The sequence below is a fragment of the Homo sapiens genome, chromosome 17 (assembly GCF_000001405.40).
Source record: "Homo sapiens chromosome 17, GRCh38.p14 Primary Assembly".
Classification (NCBI taxonomy): Eukaryota; Metazoa; Chordata; class Mammalia; order Primates; family Hominidae; genus Homo; species Homo sapiens.
The window spans coordinates 64,432,585-64,451,732 of record NC_000017.11 but is presented as its reverse complement, the minus strand read 5'-3'; the positions used below and the strand labels follow the sequence as shown (position 1 = coordinate 64,451,732).

General features: G+C 44.3%; 1 protein-coding gene across 13 annotated transcripts in view, besides 1 other annotated feature; it reads right to left on the bottom strand.

The window, feature by feature from the left end:
• MILR1 (mast cell immunoglobulin like receptor 1) overlaps positions 1-2,618 on the bottom strand; it is a 48,242-nt gene extending 45,624 nt beyond the window's left edge. For all 13 annotated transcript variants that reach the window (XR_002957990.2, XR_002957989.2, XM_024450708.2 and 10 more), the window contains exons 1-2: positions 2,510-2,618; positions 2,378-2,419 (exon numbers count right to left, since the gene is read on the bottom strand). Coding sequence is in view for 11 of the 13 variants with exons in the window: in XM_024450708.2 (XP_024306476.2) it covers positions 2,378-2,419; positions 2,510-2,564 (97 nt within the window). In the remaining 2 variants the exon portion in view is untranslated. The remainder of the gene's footprint in view (positions 1-2,377; positions 2,420-2,509) is intronic.
• Positions 2,706-2,755: a silencer, noted in NCBI's record as "silent region_8842". NCBI's record gives its function as "represses an Ori minimal core promoter by ATAC-STARR-seq in GM12878 lymphoblastoid cells {active_cell/tissue: GM12878}" and the evidence as "EXISTENCE:reporter gene assay evidence [ECO:0000049][PMID:35858748]".

Here is a 19,148-nt window from a genome sequence, read left to right as displayed (position 1 = left end):
TTGAACTCCTGACCTCAAGTGACTGCCTGCTTCAGCCTCCCAAAGTGCCGGGATTACAGGTGTGAGTCACTGTGCCCCGCCATATAAACTCAACTTTAAGACAAGACCTAAACTACCTTTCCAACCAAATAGCCATCCCTAAGTTTTTTTTATCTAGGAATGCTAGAGCTTTTGTGGCCAGTAAACATGAAAAAGATGCTCAACTTCACAAGTAATGAGGCAACTGCAAATTAAAACAACACTGAGATATCATTTTTCACTCATCAGATTGGTACAAAGTTTAAAAATGATTGGCCAGGCATGGTGGCTCATGCCTGTAATCCCAGCAATTTGGGAGGCTGAGGCAGGCAGATCTCTTGAGTCCAGGAGTTCGAGACCAGCCTGGGCAAATGGTGAAACCCTGTCTCTACTAAAAATACAAAAATTAGCTGGGCATGATGGTGCGTACCTGTATGGCACTACTCAGGAGGCTGAGGTGGGAGGATCAATTGAGCTTGGAAGGTCGAGGCTGCGGAAAGCTAAGATCGCACCACTGCACTCCAGCCTGGGCGACAGAGCAGAGACTCTGTCTCAAAGAAAGAAAGAAAAAAAAAAACCCTAAATAAAATTTAAAAGTAAAAGTGATTATATCCACCACTGGGGAGTGGGTGGGGAAACTCACCCACCGTTGGTGACTGATAGGATACGATCAGCCTTGTTGGGAGGGCAACTTAGCAGGGTCTGTAACAATTTAAATGTGTATGCCCTATGACCTTGCAATTTCAATTCTAGAATTTCATTCTACAGAGATGCTTTCAAGCTCTCATGCATCCACAAAGGACGTTGTGTACAAGGATGTTTATTGTAGCATTGTTTATATTGCCCCCAAAAAGCAGGGCAATAAATAAGGATGGTTAAACGAATCATGGCTGAGTCTTAAAATACCATGCAGCTGTTGAAAAAGAGGAGCTAAGGCTGGTGTGGTAGCTCATGCCTGTAACCCCAGCACTTTGGGAGGCAGAGGCAGGAGGATCACGAGGTCAAGAGTTCAAGAACAGCCTGGCCAACATGATGACACCCCGTCTCTACCAAAAAACAATACAAAAATTACCCAGGCATGGTGGCACGTGCCTGTAATCCCAGCTACTCGGGAGGCTGAGGCAGGAGGATCCCTTGAACCCAGGAGGCGGAGGTTGCAGTGAGCCGAGATTGTGCCACTGTACTCCAGCCTGGGCAACAAGAGTGAAACTCTGTCTCAAAAACAAACAAACAAAAAAAGATAACGAATATAAAGTGACTGTTGATAACGGCTGCTTCTGGATAGGAAGGGGAGAAGAATTGGAGGAGGATTGTAACAGAACTTTTACATTTTATACAGTAACAACCACCACCTTGGCTATCACTTACGGATGGTTTACCATATGCCTGGCACTGTGACGAGGAGCAGGGATTGTCTCATTTGATCTGCACACTAGCCTACCAGGTAGGTGCTTTTATTAGCCCACTTCACAGATGAAATAAATTACAGTGTCTCACGCCTGTAATCCCAGCACTTTGGGAGGCCAAGGTGGGCGGATCACGAGGTCAGGAGATCGAGACCATCCTGGCTAACGATGTGAAACCCCGTCTCTACAAAAAATACAAAACATTAGCCAGGCTTGGTGGCACACGCCTGTAGTCCCAGCTACTCGGGAGGCTGAGGCAGGAGAATCACTTGAACCTGGGAGGCAGAGGTTGCAGTGAGCCGAGATTGCACCACTGACTCCAGCCTGGGCGACAGACTGAGACTCCATCTCAAAAAAAAAAAGAAAGAAAGAAAGAAAGAAAGAAATTAAGGTCAAACTGGGTATGTCATGAGCTCAGGCTGCTGGCTAGTAACTAGTAGAACCAGAGGTTAGACCACTTCCCAATGTATATTTCTAGTGTTGCTTGAATTATTTCACAATAATTCTGTGGGTTTTTTTATTTTGTTTTATTTTTTTAAGAAACGAGGTATCACTATGTTGTTCAGGCTGGTCTCAAACTCCTGAGCTCAAGCAATCCTACCCCATTAGCCTTCCAAAGTGCTGCGATTACAGGCCGGAGGCACCACACCCAGCCTGTGTGTTGGCTTTCTAGTTAAAACACAACAACCATAAAACAACAATAACAAGGAAAGTTAGAAAACTTTCATTGTGAAAACAAATTTCATTATTTTTCTCACTGAGTCTCAGAAAAAAATGCTGCAATCCCCTCCCTAAAATCATTTTATTTTAAATGATAGATAATTGAAAAGACTGTTCTTTGGTTGTTCATAAAAGCTCAGAAACACTTTTGAATGGACGCTTATGTTGCAATCAGACTGTCTCACCACTTCAGTGAAAATGGTTTCAATAAGAAAGAAGTAAATGAAACTTACCATTTGTTTTCATTGCCTCACAATCCAATACAGCTTTTCTACCTGAAACAGAAAAGGAACACGATAAAGCTCACTTTCCACATGACACGTTGGCTTGGAGGTTCGAGCCTCAGAATGATAAGGGGGGCTTACAAGTGACAGAAGAAAATATGCTCCAGAAGAGGAGCCTGTTCAAATGGCTCCACATTCTCCCAGTTGAAGTCCAAGACGGGGTCAGAAGGCATAGTAGAACCACAGTGGTGAGTAACTCGGAGAACTTCCTCTTTTTCTTAGCCAAGTTAAGGAAATCAGAGGGTTTGGATGAGGTTTGCATAATACTGGTTTGTTCGACCAATCTGTCTTCCTCTGTGAGTTCCTGTAAGAAGAGAGATATTTGGTAGATTGCCACTCCCCCGCCCCCCCCACCCCCCCACACCCCCACATCGTCCCATGCTGGCTGGGAAAGAGAAGAGGTAAATCTGACTGTTACATTGTCTATGTAAACCCATCTGATCTCCTTGCTCTGGACTCAGTCTATGCCAAAAGGAGTTTGGTGGAAGTTTGATTTAGTCTTTGGAAGCAAACCGACTGTCTTAAGCAGATACATACAAATATTGTATCAAAAATGCCTGCTTTTTTTTTTTGAGACTGGCCTCACTCTGTCACCCAGGTTGGAGTGGAGTGCTGTGATCATAGCTCATTGCAGCCTCAAACTCCTGGGCTCAAGTGCTCGTCCCACCTCAGGCTCCTGAGTAGCTGGGACCACAGGTGTGCACCATCAGGACTGGCTAATTATTTTTATTTGTAAAGACAGGGGTCTAGTTGCCCAGGCTGGTGTTAAACTCCTGAGCTCAAGTGATCCTCCCGCCTCAGCCTCCCAAAGTGCTGGGATTACAGGTGTGAGCTACTGTGCCTGGCCAAAAATGCCTGCTTTTGTTAAACGTTGATTCCTAGACCCCACTCCAGACTTACTGGGTTTCAAGTCCAGGACGCTGATTTTTTTTTTTTTAAACAAGGGCCCTGAGCAATTCTTACGCACAGTGAAGGCTGAGAAATATCTGTACAAGGTGCTGCTGCCTCAGTGATTTCTGAATCAAGGGAGCCTTGGGGACTTGATATTACGGCAAGCCCTCCAGTGCCAGGAGATCTGAAGTAGGAGTTACCTTAGATCAGCCTTTGAAATAGAACGTGCAGGCTGGGTGCGGTGGCTCATGCCTGTAATCCTAGCACTTCGGAAGGCTGAGGCAGGCGGATCACCCGAGGTCAGGAGTTTGACACCAGCCTGGCCAACACAGCGAAATCCCATCACTAGTAAAAATACAAAAAACTTAACTGGGTGTGGTGATGCGTGCCTATAATTCCAGCTACTTGAGGGGCTGAGGCAGAAGAATCGTTTGAACCCGGGAGGTGGAGGTTGCAGTGAGCCAAGATTGCACCACTGCACTCCAGCCTGGGTGATAGAGCAAAACTCTGTCTCAAAAAAAAAAAAAAAAAGTCAGTTGAAATAGAATGTGCAGAGCCACTTCTTGATGGAGTGGAGATCACCAAAAGGATAGAAAGGTATGACTATAGGGCTAGGTGGGCAAGACAGCTGGTTGACACTTGCAAGAATTGACAGGTCCACCAAGAGAGGAAGCAAGGAGTTGAATGGCTGGGGCAGCCTTGAGCTGGGACATTCATCTCTGTACCTTAGGTCCCAAGATGTAACCAAATCCTTCCTTATTGACTCAGCGTCACCTAGCTAGCATCCTCTAGCTAGGAGGTTTGATACTGAATCTTGCTCTGTCTCCCAAGCTAGAGCACAGTGGCACCATCTTGGCTCACTGCAATCTCCACTTACCAGAATCAAACTATCTTTCCACCTCAGCCTCTCTAGTAGCTGGGACCACAGGCACAAACCACCATACACTACTAGGTTTTTAACTTTTTTATAGAGATGAAGTCTCACTATATTGCCCAGGCTGGTTTTGAACTCCTGGGCTCAAGCGATTCTCCTGCGTGTGGCCTCCAAAAGTGCTAGGATTACAAGCATGAACCACCATGCCCCACCCTTACTACAACAACTTTACAGCACTTTATAAAAGTTTGGATGGGTGAACTGTCAGATACATGTGCAAAATTCCATCAACTTTTTCTTTTCTTCACGTCTGCAATGTTTTTCATCAGCATCCTGTCACTTTTTGGCTACCACTGCTGGCCAGCTGGAAAAGAACAGACAACCATAGAATCATTCCCCGCACCCACATTTTCTTTCTCTCTCTTTTTTTTTTTTTTTTTTTGAGATGGAGTCTCGCTCTGTTGCCCAGGCTGGAGTGCAGTGGCGCTATCTCGGCTCACTGAAACCTCCACCTCCTGGGTTCAAGGGATTCTCCTGCCTCACCCTCCCAAGTAACTGGGATTACAGGTACGTGCCACCACACCTGGCTAAATTGTGTATTTTTAGTAGAGACGGGATTTCACCCCATTGGCCAGGCTGGTCTCGAACTCCTGACCTCAGGTGATCTGCCTGCCTCGGCCTCCCGAAGTTGTGGGATTACAGGCGTGAGCCACTACCCCCGGCTCCACATTTTCATATAGACCCATGGAAATGGTTTCTCTATCAGATCCAGTACAAATTGCAGACAAGTCTGGCAATGGAAAAAATATATATTGGCAACTTCTAGTATTTTCAAACTGGAGTAATAGCTGCAGTGGCGCCATCTCGGGCCACTGCAACCTCCACAGTTCCCAGGTTCCCAAGTAGCTGGGATTACAGGCACTTGCCACCACGCCCAGCTAATTTTTTTAATTTTTACTAGAGATGAGGTTTCGCCATGTTGACCAGGCTGGTCTCAAATTCCTGATCTCAAGTGATCTACCCACCTCAGTCTCCCAAAGTGCTGAGACTACAGGCATGAGCCACTGCACCTGGCCTCACACATTCTATTTCAAAGGCTGATCTGAGTTTACTCCTACCTCAGTTCTCCTGGCACTGGAGGGCTTGCCATAATAACAAGACTTCAAGGCTGCCTTGATTCAGAACTGCACTTTTGAAAGACACTGTCTCAAAAAAAAAAAAAAAAGAATTTTTAATGGTGATGTAGAAGAACATTTCATGATGTGGTAAGAGAATCACAATATACTTAAGAAAAGAGAAAAGGTATTATTAACAGTTGTAATAACATAAATCATTTTTCTAAATAAGAAAGTGCATAATTTGTATACATAGAAAAACTATCTGGAGGCCGGGCACAGTGGCTCATGCCTGTATTCTCAGCACTTTGGGAGACTCATAATGAGACTTTGTCTCTAAATTAAAAAAGGAAAAGAAAGGAAAGGAAGAAAGAAAGAAAGAGAAAAACTATCTGGAAGGATATTTTCTCAAAATGTTAACAATAGCTATATCTGGAGAGTAGAATGTTATTTTTATTTTTTTTATTATTATACTTTAAGTTCTAGGGTACATGTGCACAATGTGCAGGTTTGATACATAGGTATACATGTGCCATGTTGGTTTGCTGCACCCATAAACTCATCATTTACATTAGGTATTTCTCCTAATGCTATCCCTTCCCTAACCCCCAACCCCCCGACATGCCCCAGTGTGTGATGTTCCCCTCCCTGTATCCAAGTGATCTCATTGTTCAATTCCCACCTATGAGTGAGAACATGTGGTGTTTGGTTTTCTGTCCTTGTGATAGTTTGCTGAGAATGATGGTTTCCAGCTTCATCCATGTCCCTGCAAAGGACATGAACTCATCCTTCTTTATGGCTGCATAGTATTCCATGGTGTATATGTGCCACATTTTCTTAATCCAGTCTATCATTGATGGACATTTGGGTGGGTTCCAAGTCTTTGCTATTGTGAATAGTGCCACAATAAACATACGTGTGCATATGTCTTTACAGTAACATGATTTATAATCCTTTGGGTATATACCCAGTAATGGGATTGCTGAGTCAAATGATATTTCTAGTTCTAGATCCTTGAAGAATCACCACACTGACTTCCACAATGGTTGAACTAATTTACACTCCCACCAACAGTGTAAAAGCGTTCCTATTTCTCCACATTCTCTCCAGCTTTTATTTTCTTATTCTAGCTCCTCTTTCTTTTTTTTCGAGATGAAATCTTGCTCTTGTCCCCCAAGCTAGAGTGCAACGGCATGATCTTGGCTCACTATAACCTCTGCCTCCTGGGTTCAAGCAATTCTCCTGCCTCAGCCTCCCAAGTAGCTGGGACTACAGGTGCCTGCCACCACGCCTGGCTAATTTTTGTATTTTTAGTAGAGACGGGGTTTCACCATGTTGGCCAGGCTGTTCTCGAACTCCTCAGGTGATCCGCCCTCCTTGGCCTCCCAAAGTGCTGGGATCACAGGCATGAGCCACTGCGCCTGGCCGCTCCTCTTTCAATTATTTCTTTCTGCATTAATATTCCTATTATGGAGAAGGAGGAAAGATGGGATAATGGCAGACCTTGACAACACCTTTCCTTGGTCCTCCATAAGGAGAAAGAGCCTCCTCTAAGCCTGGTAGTATGGTGCACTGAGTGAGGACAGGAGGTTGGGACATTTCCCAGAGGCTTGGGTTCAAAACCACTGAGGTATTGAGAAAGATAAAGTAACTTTTACATGAAAGATAAAAACAAGATCCTTTCCTCAAAAGACCTACCTGGAGCCCATACTTGCCCTCAGGCAACCCATAGGCTTGCAACAACAGTGTCTATTTTTTTTTTTTTGAGACAGAGTTTCACTTTTGTCGCCCAGGCTGGAGTGGAATAGTGTAATCTCGGCCTACTGCAACCTCCGCCTCCCCGCCTCCCCAGTTCAAGCGATTTTCCTGCCTCAGCCTCCCAAGTAACTGGGATTACAGGCATGCACTACCATGCCTGGCTTATTTCTTATTTTTAATTGAGATGGGGTTTCACCATGTTGGCCAGGCTGGTTTCGAACTCCTGACCTCAGGTGATCCCCCTGCCTCGGCCTCCCAAAGTGCTAGGATTACAGGCGTGAGCCACCACGCCTGGCCAGTGTCTATTTCCTTAAGAAAAAAATATGTGTTTTTTTCCTTAAGAAAAAAAATTATAAAAATCGAAACAGCATACAAAATCCAAAGAAAATATCCAATAGGCATGAATATAATTCATTTCCGCTTGTCCCTGCCCCCAGGAATGTCTTTAGCACCCCGTCCCCTGCATACATTCTTTGTTGGGTATAGCATGCATTGTTAGAAGCAGTTTATCATGAATTTCGGTTCATAGTCATAGTGGCAGCTGTTGTGTATTGACTAGGCCTTGTGTGAAATGCTTTTTCCTCATGATCTCCTGTAATTCTCTAGAGGGTTATTGTCCCCATTATACATTTGGGGAAAATCAGCTAGGAAGTAGCATGGCTGGGATTCAAACCCTGTGTGGGTCGGGTACAGCGGCTCACACCTGTAATCCCAGCACTTTGGGAGGCCAAGACGGGAGAATCATTTGAGCTCAGGAGTTTAAGACTCGCCTGGGGAACATACTGAGACCTTGTCTCTGCTAAAAATAAAAATTAGCCGGGTGTGGTGGTGTGCGCCTGTAGTCCCAGCTACTCAGGAAACTGAAGCAGGAGGATCACTTGAGTCTGGGAGGTCAAGGGTGCAGTGAGCTATGACTTGCCACTGCATGCCAGCCTGGGCAGCTGAGCGAGACCCTGTCTCAAAAAATAAAAATAAAGAATAAGTAAATAAAAATAAAACAAACAAAACTTCCTCATCTGTCTGAAGTCATAGCCTGGGCTCCCAATTCTTTTCCACTGTCTCTGTCTGCCCAGTGCCCACGATCAGAACTTTCTTGACTTGAGGTCTCAGAATCCCTAAATTAACAATGTGGAGTAGCTTGTGGTTGGTTCACTTCTACAGGATCCAGAATTCTCCTGGCTCTCTGAAGTGTACACAAAGTAACGCCACATATTCCAGTCTCATCAGTCTGAAGTGGGAGGTGGGAAATGATGGGAGGGGCTTCCCAAGTGAAAGGAAGCCCTATGATCAGGCAGGGTCACCTGGGTTACTGATTCTTGTCTCCACACAGGGTTAACCCTGTAGGTAGGTCCTGCACATTCCTGTAGACAGGTGTCGTCAGGCCAGGCGAGGTGGCTCAAGCCTGTAATCCCAGTACTTTGGGAGGCTGAGGTGTGTGAATCATCTGAGGTCAGGAGTTTGAGATCAGCCTGGCCAACATGGTGAAACCCCACCTCTACAAATAATATAAAAAATTAGCTGGGCGTGGTGCATGCCTGTAATCCCAGCTACTTGGGAGGCTGAGGCATGAGAATCACTTGAACCTGGGAGGCAGAGGTTGCAGTGAGCTGAGATCACGCCATTCCATTCCAGCCTGGGTGACAGAGTGAGACCCTGTCTCAAAACAAAACAAAACAAACAAAAAACAAAAAAAACCAAAGACAGGTGTCATCTCTGTAGGAAAGCCAGTTCTCTGCCCATGTCCAGATTCTCCTAGGACATCCTCCCCACCCCAGCGTTGACTCACTCCAGGCTCGCCAGGGCCCACCTCCTGGTGGTCAGCCACCCCAGGGGCCACACCCTGCCACCACCAGGGGCCTGCTGCCCTCATCCCACTTCCTCCCTACCTGTCCACCACTGCCTGGTAGCAAATCATCTGTAACCCTCAGTTCACAAAAGGCCTTTATTCCCTCTTACAGTAAAAATTACTTCTCAGGCACTTCCCTTCTAAAAGAGATGACATGGTGCTTTTCATACTGTGACATCAGTGGCAATTTCTCTCAGCAAAGAAGCGAGGATGGAAAGAACCCTACAAGTTTAATCTCTGATGGGATAACTCTCAGTGCTAGAATTTCTGCTAAAGGGAATTGGAGGTTTTGTAAGCATGACAGTTAAGACACTTTCCCCACCAGCGTGTCCTCCATGCTAGCCTGGGCAGAGGGAGGGATGGGGCCCCTGAGATCCATCGTGCCTGGGAGGACTGGGGACCTTTCAGAACAGCTGACATGTCTAGAATTCTCTGCTGCAAGCAGGAAGCTTGCTGACCGCAGATCTGATCCAAAGACAGCAGAGGAAACCAAGGGAAATACCGCTTACAGCTGTTAGCAAACATTGCTAGGAGCGCTTTAGCAAGGCCGTGGAAGACGGATTTGTCAAAAGTGGAATAATATTAATCAGCTGGGCGTGGGGGCTCATGCCTGTAATCCAAGCACTTTGGGAGGCTGAGTAGGAGGCAGGAGTATCGTTTGAGCCTAGGAGTGTGAGATCAGCCTGGGTAGTAGAGTGAGACCCCATCTCTACAAAAAAAAAAAAAAAATTGAAAAAAATTGAAAAAATTGAAACAATTAACTGGGCTTGGTGGCACGTGCCTGTAGTCCCAGCTACTTGGGAGACCATGGCAGGAGGATTGCTTGAGCCTGACAAATCAGGGCTGCAGTGAGCTGTGATTGTGCCACTGCACTCCAGCCTGGGCAACAGAGCAAGACACTGTCTTAAAAAACCAAAACCAAAACAACAACAACTACAAAAAAAAAAGTGGCATAATAAACCAGAGGTGAAGTCTTAAATTGAAAAAGAAAACATTTTCCCCATAGACCTGACACATTTCTCAAAATCATGCCAAATCCATGTTGTTGAGGTCTGCAGTAATTTACCATATTGATAAGACTGACGGTAAATATAGTAACACACAATAAAGTTGCTATATTCCTTTTTGCTGTGCTAAGAGATTCATACTGATAATCTCATTTAATCCTCACAAACTTCTAATGAGAAATGCAGAAGTATTATAAAAAATATTTACTGTCCAGGCAAGGTGGCTCATGCCTGTAATCTCACCCCTTTGGCAGGCTGAGGCTGGAGGACTCCTTGAAGCCAGGATTTTTAGACCAGCCTGGGCAACAAAACAAGACTCTGTCTCTATTAAAAAACAACAACAATCAGTAGGAGAACATAAATATATAACTCAAGACATAAATAAAAGATTTAAAAATAGATTTCACCACTGCCCCCACTTTGTCTCTAACTGACCTATATTACAAAACTACTTATACTTATCAAGAGATAGAAGTTTTCATACAAATTGTTAATCACACCATTCTCATATTTTCCAAGGTTTTGTTGATGTTTAGAAATGGATGGCCGGGCTCACATCTGTAATCCCAGCACACTGGGAGGCCGAGGCAGGCAGATCACCTGAGGTCGGGAGTCGAGACCAGCCTCACCCACATGGAGAAAACCTGTCTCTACTAAAAATACAAAATTAGCCGGGCGTGGTGGCACATGCCTGTAATCCCACCTACTTTAGAGGCTGAGGCAGGAGAATCAATTGAACCCGGGAGGCGGAGGTTGCAGTGAGCTAAGATTGCGCCACTGCACACCAGCCTGGGCGACAATAGTGAAACTCTGTCTCAAAAAAAAAAAAGAAAAGAAAAAGAAGTGGATGGTGTGGTCTTTTGAATCCTGGCATGACTTAACATGGGCCTTGAACTTTTCCAATAAGTTCTTTCAAATTGATGGCCACTGGGTAACGTATGTTCTCCATAAAAAGGGAATTTCTCTTCATACTAATAGTATTATTCATGGTGTTAAATCCTCAACTCCTGATGAACAATAACAATTACAAAATTTAAAAATGTTCTAGCTTGCTGGGCGCAGTGGCTCATGCCTGTAATTCCAGCACTTTGGGAGGCCGAGGTAGGCGGGTCATAAGGTCAGGAGATCGAGACCATCCTGGCTAACATGGTGAAACCCTGTCTCTACTAAAAATACAAAAAAATTAGCTGGGCATGGTGGCAGGCGCCTGTAGTCCCAGCTACTCGGGAGGCTGAGGCAGGAGAACGGCGTGAACCTGGGAGGCGGAGGTTGCAGTGAGCCAAGATTGCGCCACTGCACTCCAGCCTGGGCGACAGAGCAAGACTCCGTCTCAAAAAAAAAAAAAAAAAAAAAAATGTTTTAGCTCAAATGATGATGCTGTTTGAAAATTTTATATACCCAATGATATGATTTCGCTCTGTGTCCCTGCCTAAATCTCATCTCGAATTGTAATCCCCAAGTGTTGAAGGAGGGATCTGGTGGGAGGTGATTTGATCATGGGGGTGGTTCCCCCATGCTTTTCTTGTGATAGTGAGTTCTCATGAGATCCAATGGTTTAAAAGTGTGTGGCAGTGTGGCAGTTCCCCCTGCCTCTCTCTCTCCTGCCGCCTTGTGAAGAAGGTGCTTGCTTCCCCTTTGTCTTCTGGCACAATCATAAGTTTCCTGAGGCTTCCCCAGCCATGCAAAACTGTGACTCAATTAAACCTCTTTCTTCATAAATTACCCAGTCTCAAGTAGTCCTTTCTGTTTTTTTTTTTTTTTTTTGAGACGAAGTCTCACTCTGTTGCCCAAGCTGGAGTGCAGGGGTGCAATCTTGGCTCACTGCAACCTCCATCTTCTGAGTTCAAGTGATTCTCCTGCCTCAGCCTCCCGAGTAGCTGGAACTACAGCCACCCACCACTATGCCCAGCTAATTTTTGTGTTTTTAGTAGAGATGGGGTTTCACTATGTTGGCCAGGCTGGTCTTGAACTCCTGACCTCATGATCCGCCCACCTCAGCCTCCCACAGTGCTGGGATTACAGGCATGAGCCACCATGGCCAGCCTCAAGTAGGTGTTTATAGCAGTGTTAAATCTGGCTAATACAGAAAATTGGTACCAGGAGTAGGGTACTGCTATAAAGATACCTGAAAATATGGAAGTGACTTTGGAACTGGGTAATGGGCAGAGGTTGGAAAAATTTGGAGGGCTCAGAAGAAGACAAGAAGATGGTTGGACATGGTGGCTCATGCCTGCAATCCCAGCACTTTGGGAGGCCAAGGTGTGAGAACTGCTTGAGCTCAGGAGTTCAAGACCAGCCTGGCCAACATGGTGAAACCATGTCTCTACTAGAAATTAAAAAAATATCTGGCCATGGAGGTGCATGCCTGTAATCCCAGCTACTCAGGAGGTTGAGGCATAAAAATTGCTTGAACTTGGGAGGCAGAGGTTGCAGTATGCTGAGATCATGCCACTGCACTCCCGCCTGGGCAACAGAGTGAGACTCTGTCTCAAAAAACAAAAACAAACCCAAGAAGAAGACAGGAAGATGTGGGAAAGTTTGGAACTTCCTAGAGACTTGTTGAATGGTTTTGACCAAAATGTTGATAGTGATATGGACAATGAAATCCACTCTGAGATGGTCTCAGATGGAGATAAGGAACTTATTGGGAACTGGAGTAAAGGTCACTCTCGCTATGCTTTAGCAAAGAGACTTGTGGTATTTTACTCCTGCCCTAAGGATGTGTGGAATTTTGACCTTGACAAATATGATTTAGGGTATCTGGCGTAAGAAATTGCTAAGCAGCAAAGTGTTCAAGAGGTGGGCTGGCTACTCCTAATGGCATACAGTCACATGCATTTACAAAGGGATAATCTGAAATTGGAATTTATATTTAAAAGGGAAGCAGAGTATAAAAGTTTGGAAAGTTGGGGCCAGGTGCAGAGGTTCATGCCTGTAATCCCAGCACTTTGGAAGGCTGAAGTGGGCAGATCACGAGGTCAGGAGTTCGAGACCAGCCTGGCCAACAAGGTGAAACCCTGCCTCTGAAAAAAAAAAAAATACAAAAATTAGCTGGGCGCAGTGGTGCGCACCTGTAGTCCCAGTTACTCAGGAGGCTGAAGCAGGAGAATTGCTTGAACCTGGAAAGAGGAGGTTGCAGTGAGCTGAGATTGCACCACTGCACTCCAGCCTGGGCAACAGAATGAAACTCCATCTCAAAAAAAAAAAAGTTTGGAAAGTTTGCAGCCTGACCATGTGGTAGAAAAGAAAAACCCATTTGCTGGGGAGAAATTCAAGCCCCTGGGCTGCATAAATTTGCATAAGTAAAGAGAAGCTGAATGTTAATAGCCAAGACAATGGCGCAAATATCTCCAGGGCATTTCAGAAATCTTCATGGCAGCCCCTCTCATCACAGGCCTGGAGGCCTAGGAGGGAAAAATGATTTTCCAGGCCAGGCCCAGGGCCCTTCTGCTCTGTGCAGCCTCAGGACATGGTGCCACACGTCCCAGCTGCTCCAGCTCCAGCCATGGCTAATAGGGACCAAGGTACAGTCCAGGCTGTTGCTTCAGAGGGTGCAAGCCCCAAGTCTTGGCAGCTTCCATGTGGTATTGGGCCTGTACGTGCACAGAAGACAACAGTTGAGCTCCGCCTAGATTTCAGAGGATGTATGGAAATGCTTGGATATCCAGGCAGAAGTCTGCTGCAGGGGTGGAGCCCTCATGGGCCTCTATTAGGGCAATGCAGAGGGGAAATGTGGGGTTGGAGCTCCCTACACAGAGTCCCCACTGGAGCATTGCCTAGTTGAGCTGTGAGAAGAGGGCTACCATCCTCCAGATCCCAGAACGGTAGATCCACTGACAACTTGCACTATGTGCCTGGAAAAACTGCAGGCACTCAATGCCAGCCTGTGAAAGCAGTTGTCCCTAAAGGCTATGATGTTAAGGGTTTTGTGGAAAATTTGGTGAGCAGGGGGCTTGGGAATGGGTGTTACTGATTGGTTGAGGATGAAATCATAGGGGTGTGGAAAACAGTCTTCATCAGTTGAGTCCACCTCTGCATGGAGCCACAGGATCAGCTGACTCATGAGTCATGGGTCCAGGTGGGGTCAGTCTGAAAGATCTCCAAAACACCAATTGTAGGTTTTACAATAGTGATGTTATCTACAGTGTTTCCAGAAAGGGGTTCTGATCCAGACCCCAGCAAACTAATGTTTCCTCCCCATTTTAGACCACATAGGGTAACTTCTAGACGTTGCCATGGCATTTGTATACTGTCATAGTGCTGGTGGGAGGAGTGTCTTTTAGCATGCTAATGCATTATATTAGCATAATGAGCAGTGAGGATGGCCAGAGGTCACTTTTGTTGCCATCTTGGATTTAATGGGTTTGGGCTGGTTTCTTTACTGCATGCTGTTTTATCAGTGGGTTCTTTATGACCTGTATCTTGTGCCAACCTCCTATCCCATCCTGTGACTAAGAATCCACAACCTCCTGAGAATGCAGCCCAGCAGGTCTCAGCCTTATTTTACCTAGCCCCTGTTCAAGATGGAGTCACTCTTGTTCCAACACCTCTGACACATTTCTTCCTCCCTTTTACAAGAGGACTAAGTGTTGTAGAGGGAGGAGGATCCATCATCAGTAACTTCTTTGGGCTGAATAGGGGTGGTGATATTCCTGCCTAATTATTAGGGTCTCTTTTATTCAGGGTAGAGAGGAGCTCAGTCAGAAAGCATTAGTATGGTGAGGGCCATTCATAACTCTGAGTTCTGACAAAAAGGTGGTATCTGGAAGATTAATAAGTATTCAATTTAAGAAAATGTTGGCCAGGCACAGTGGCTCATGCCTGTAATCCCAGTGCTTTGGGAGGCCAAGGCAGGCAGATCACCTGAGGTCAGGAGTTCAAGACCAGCCTGACCAACATAGAGAAACCCTGTCTCTACTGAAAATACAAAATTAGCCAGGTGTGGTGGCTCATGTCTGTAATCCCAGCTGCTCGAGAGACTGAGGCAGGAGAATCGCTTGAACATGGGAGGCGGAGGTTGTGGTGAGCCAAGATTGTACCATTGCACTCCAGCCTGAGCAACAAGAGCAAAACTCCATCTTAAAAAAAAAAAAAAAGAAAATGTTGAGTAAGTTTATCCTGCATTCCTACACAAAGAGTACAACAGCCATATATTCCATAATAGTAAAACAAAATAGATAAAATAATTCCAAGTAAACTAAATAGGAAGGCTTTCCATGAACTGGGCAATTGTTGGAACCAAGCTGATATGGAGTTGCTAGCCAATCCCAATGCATGCCCAGAATTATAAACCTGATGCAAATTTTTACATTGCCCATTCCTCCTGTTTCTGCTGAGCAGCAGACAGAGATCACTCATTGGTTCACAAAAATAATCAGGGTCAGTCTAAATAGCAGAAAAGTTCAGGTGTGATGGCTCACGCCTGTAATTCTAACACTTTGGGAGGCTGAGGAAGGTGGATCACTTGAGGCCAGGAGTTCAAGACCAGAGTAGCCAACATGGCGAAACCCCATCTGTACTAAAAATACAAAAATTACCTGGGTGTGGTGGTGGGTGTCTGTAATCCCAGCTACTCGGGAGGTCAAGGCATGAGAATCACTTGAACCCAGGAGGTGGAGGTTGCAGTGAGCCGAGATCATGTCGCTGCACTCCAGCCTGGGTGACAAAGTGAGATTCTGTCCAAAAAATAAAATTTAAAAAGCAGAAAAAACTCAAAAACAATGGATGAGACCAGACTCTAATAACAGATATGTATTAGTCCGTTTTCACACTGCTGATAAGGACATAGCCAAGACTGGACAATTTACAAAAGAAAGAGAGTTTTAATGGACTTACAGTTCCACATGGCTGGAAAGGCCTCACAATCATGATGGAAGGCAAGGAGCTGCAAGTCACGTCTTACATGAATGGCAGCAGGCAAAGAGAGAGCTTGTGCAGGGAAACTCCCCCTTATAAAACTATCAGCTTTCATGAGACTTATTCACTATCATGAGAACAGCATGGGAAAGGCCTGCCCCCATGATTCAATTCCCTCTCACCAGGTCCCTCCCACAATGTGTGGGAATTCAAGATGAGATTTGGGTGGGGACACAGCCAAACCATATCAAGGTATACCATAGTTTTTGATACACAATTTTTTCTCTCTCTCATCTTCCATTTTTATTAAATTAAAACAAATCATGATAGGACTGATTTGTTTGCAAAACAGGCTTTAATCTTATGATACTTGGCATATTATCGGCATAATGTGCAGCAAGAATAATTATTTGCTATATAGGCTTCTTTTAAATTTGGCTTTGATTGCCAGGCACGGTGGCTCATGCCTGTAATCCCAGCACTTTGGGAGGCTGAGGCAGGCAGATCACCTTAGGTCAGGAGTTCAAGACCAGCCTGACCAACATGGAGAAACCCTGTCTCTACTAAAAATACAAAATTAGCTGGGCGTGGTGGTGCATGCTTGTAATCCCAGCTACTCAGGAAGCTGAGGCAGGAGAGTCACTTGAACCCAGGAGGCGGAGGTTGCAGTGAGCAGATATCACACCATTGCACTCAAGCCTGGGCAACAAGAGCAAAACTCCATCTCAATAATAATAATAATCATAATAGAAAAATAAAATTGGCTTTGATGTAACTTTGTTCTGTAAGGACTCTTAGATTAGAGTTTTTAAGGCCTTGAGCCCAGCCACTGATTAATCTGTGCCTGCAAATACCTATATGAGTTGGTAAATTTCTCTCTTCTTGAGGTCCCAAGATAACTTGAGGCTTCTGGGCCTGTCAGAAAGTGACATTCTTTACTTGCCACAGGTCAGAAACCCTGTACAGGGATTGTGTAGACAAGGTATGATGGCAGTTTTCCTAAGGGGCTTTTATTGGCTTGAAATGTCAACTTTGATTCCTTAAAGCAGTCTGTTTGTATTTGAAAGCACGCCAGATAAAATAACCTTATACAAAAGAAAAACAGATTCTTATTGCACTTATGCAAATAGCTATATTGCCATAAGTTAAGAATACTAGGCCAGATGTGGTGGCTCACACCTGCAATCCCAGCACTTTGGGAGGCTGATGTGGGAGGACCACTAGTGCCCCGGAGTTTGAGACCACCTTGGCCAACATAGTGAGACCTCATCTCTACAAAAAAAAAAAAAAAAATTAGCTGGGCGTGGTGACACACAATTGTAGCCCCAGATACTTGGGAGGCTGAGGTGAGTGGATCACTTGAGCCTGTGAGGCTGAGGCTGTAGTGACCTGTGATGATTGTGATCATGCCACTGAACTTCAGCCTGGATGAGAGAGAAAGGCCCTGGCCAAACAAACAAACAAACAAAAACCCACCAAACAAACAAACAAAAAACACTCATGAATACTCACAAATAGTTTCCAGATTCTGGAAAAATCAGGTAGAGAGAAAGAAATATGCTCCAAATTTTGCTCGTAGGAGTATACTTTACTCAATTGTTAAAAGCTGTAAATAATTCAAAAGAAGAGTTTTCTTGACTCTGAAAAACAAAACAGAAAGGATCAGCAATGTTTGAAGCAAAAAGTTGTAAGAAGATTATTTTGGTCTTTTTTTAATTTAGTGTATGCAATTAATTCCTGTTTTGCTTGATATTTATGAACACATTAGTTTTCCAAGAGAGTCTTGGAAATTTCTCCCCTCTACTTTAATGGCACACTTTCAAAACTTAGCAGAGACTTGGATTTAAGAGTCAGAGTCCTATAGCTAATTATAAAACATCTTTTGAACAGGATCAAAACAAGACAGTAATTGTCTGTGAATGACAACAGGTCTTAAGGGAGCCATATTCAAAGACACAATTGACAAGGAAATTTGGTCACTTCTGTGGTATACAACAATTTTACCTAAAAATTATTATTACTGATAACTTACACTAACTCATATCAGAACTATAGGAGTTTCCCATAATTTTGCACTACGTATCAATAACATACTTATACAAATAAATCCCAAAGAAAGCCAAACACCATTTCATATTTGACAATGCTTCCAGTATGATTTTAATATACCACATAGGTCAAATATGTTTTGTTTTGATTTTTTGAGACAGTCTCACTCTGTCCCCCAGGCTGGAGTGCAGTGACGCAGTCTCACTCTGTGCCCCAGGCTGGAATGCAGTACATAATCCCAGCTCATTGCAATCTTCACCTCCCATGTTCAAGTGATTCTTGTGCCTCAGCCTCCTGAGTATCTGGGACTATAAGCACACACCACCATGACTGGCTGTGTATTTTTATTTATTTTGTATTTTGTATTTTATTTATTTTGTATTTTTAGTAGAGATGGGGTTTTGCCATGTTGGCCAGGCTCGTCTCAAACTACTGGCCTGAAGCAATCCACTGGCCTTGGCCTCCCAAAGTGCTGGGATTATAGGCATGAGCCACTGTACCTGGTCCAAATATGTTAATTTTGGATTTTATAGGACTTAATAACTAAAAGGATTAATCAGGTCAAAAAAAGACATAATTTAGAATTTGATTTTGGAAAGTTTGTCAAGTATCAAAGATTTAAAATACTGATATTATAAAATAAAATCCTAGGTCAACATAAGTCATTTATTTAGCCAAAATGATAACTCAAAGATTTTAAAAAGACAAACACCTTTACTCATTGATAGAGGAAGAGGTAGGTTTCCAAAAAAAAAGTCTTTTTAATTTCCCTTCTTTTTCCTGTAGTTTATTCAAAAGGCAAGGAAAAATCTTTCATTATCTTTTAATATTACATGAAAATTTTGTTCAAGAGAGAAAGCCAAATTTCACCTTTGCATTAGTGTACTATTAATGTCAAACCCAATTCTTAATAAAAGCTATAGACAAATTTATTTAATTTCATTTAGTTTGACCATAAGGTAAGATTCTCGTAAACCTTTTATAACCCTTTACAATTTTCTGTTAAAATCAAATCAGCCAGACACGATGGTTCATGCCTGTAATCCCAGCACTTTGGGAGACTGAGGTGGGTGGATCACTTGAGATCAGGAGTTTGAGACCAGCCTGACCAACATGGTGAAACCCCGTCTCTACTAAAAATACAAAAATTAGCCGGACATGGTGGTACACACTTGTAATCCCAGCTGCTTGGGAGGCTGAGGCATGAGAATCGCTTGAACCTGGGCGATGGAGGTTGTAGTGAGCCCAGATTGTACCACTGTATTCCAGCCTGGGCAACAGAGCGAGACTCTGTGTCAAAAAAAGAAGGATCAAATCAATGCCC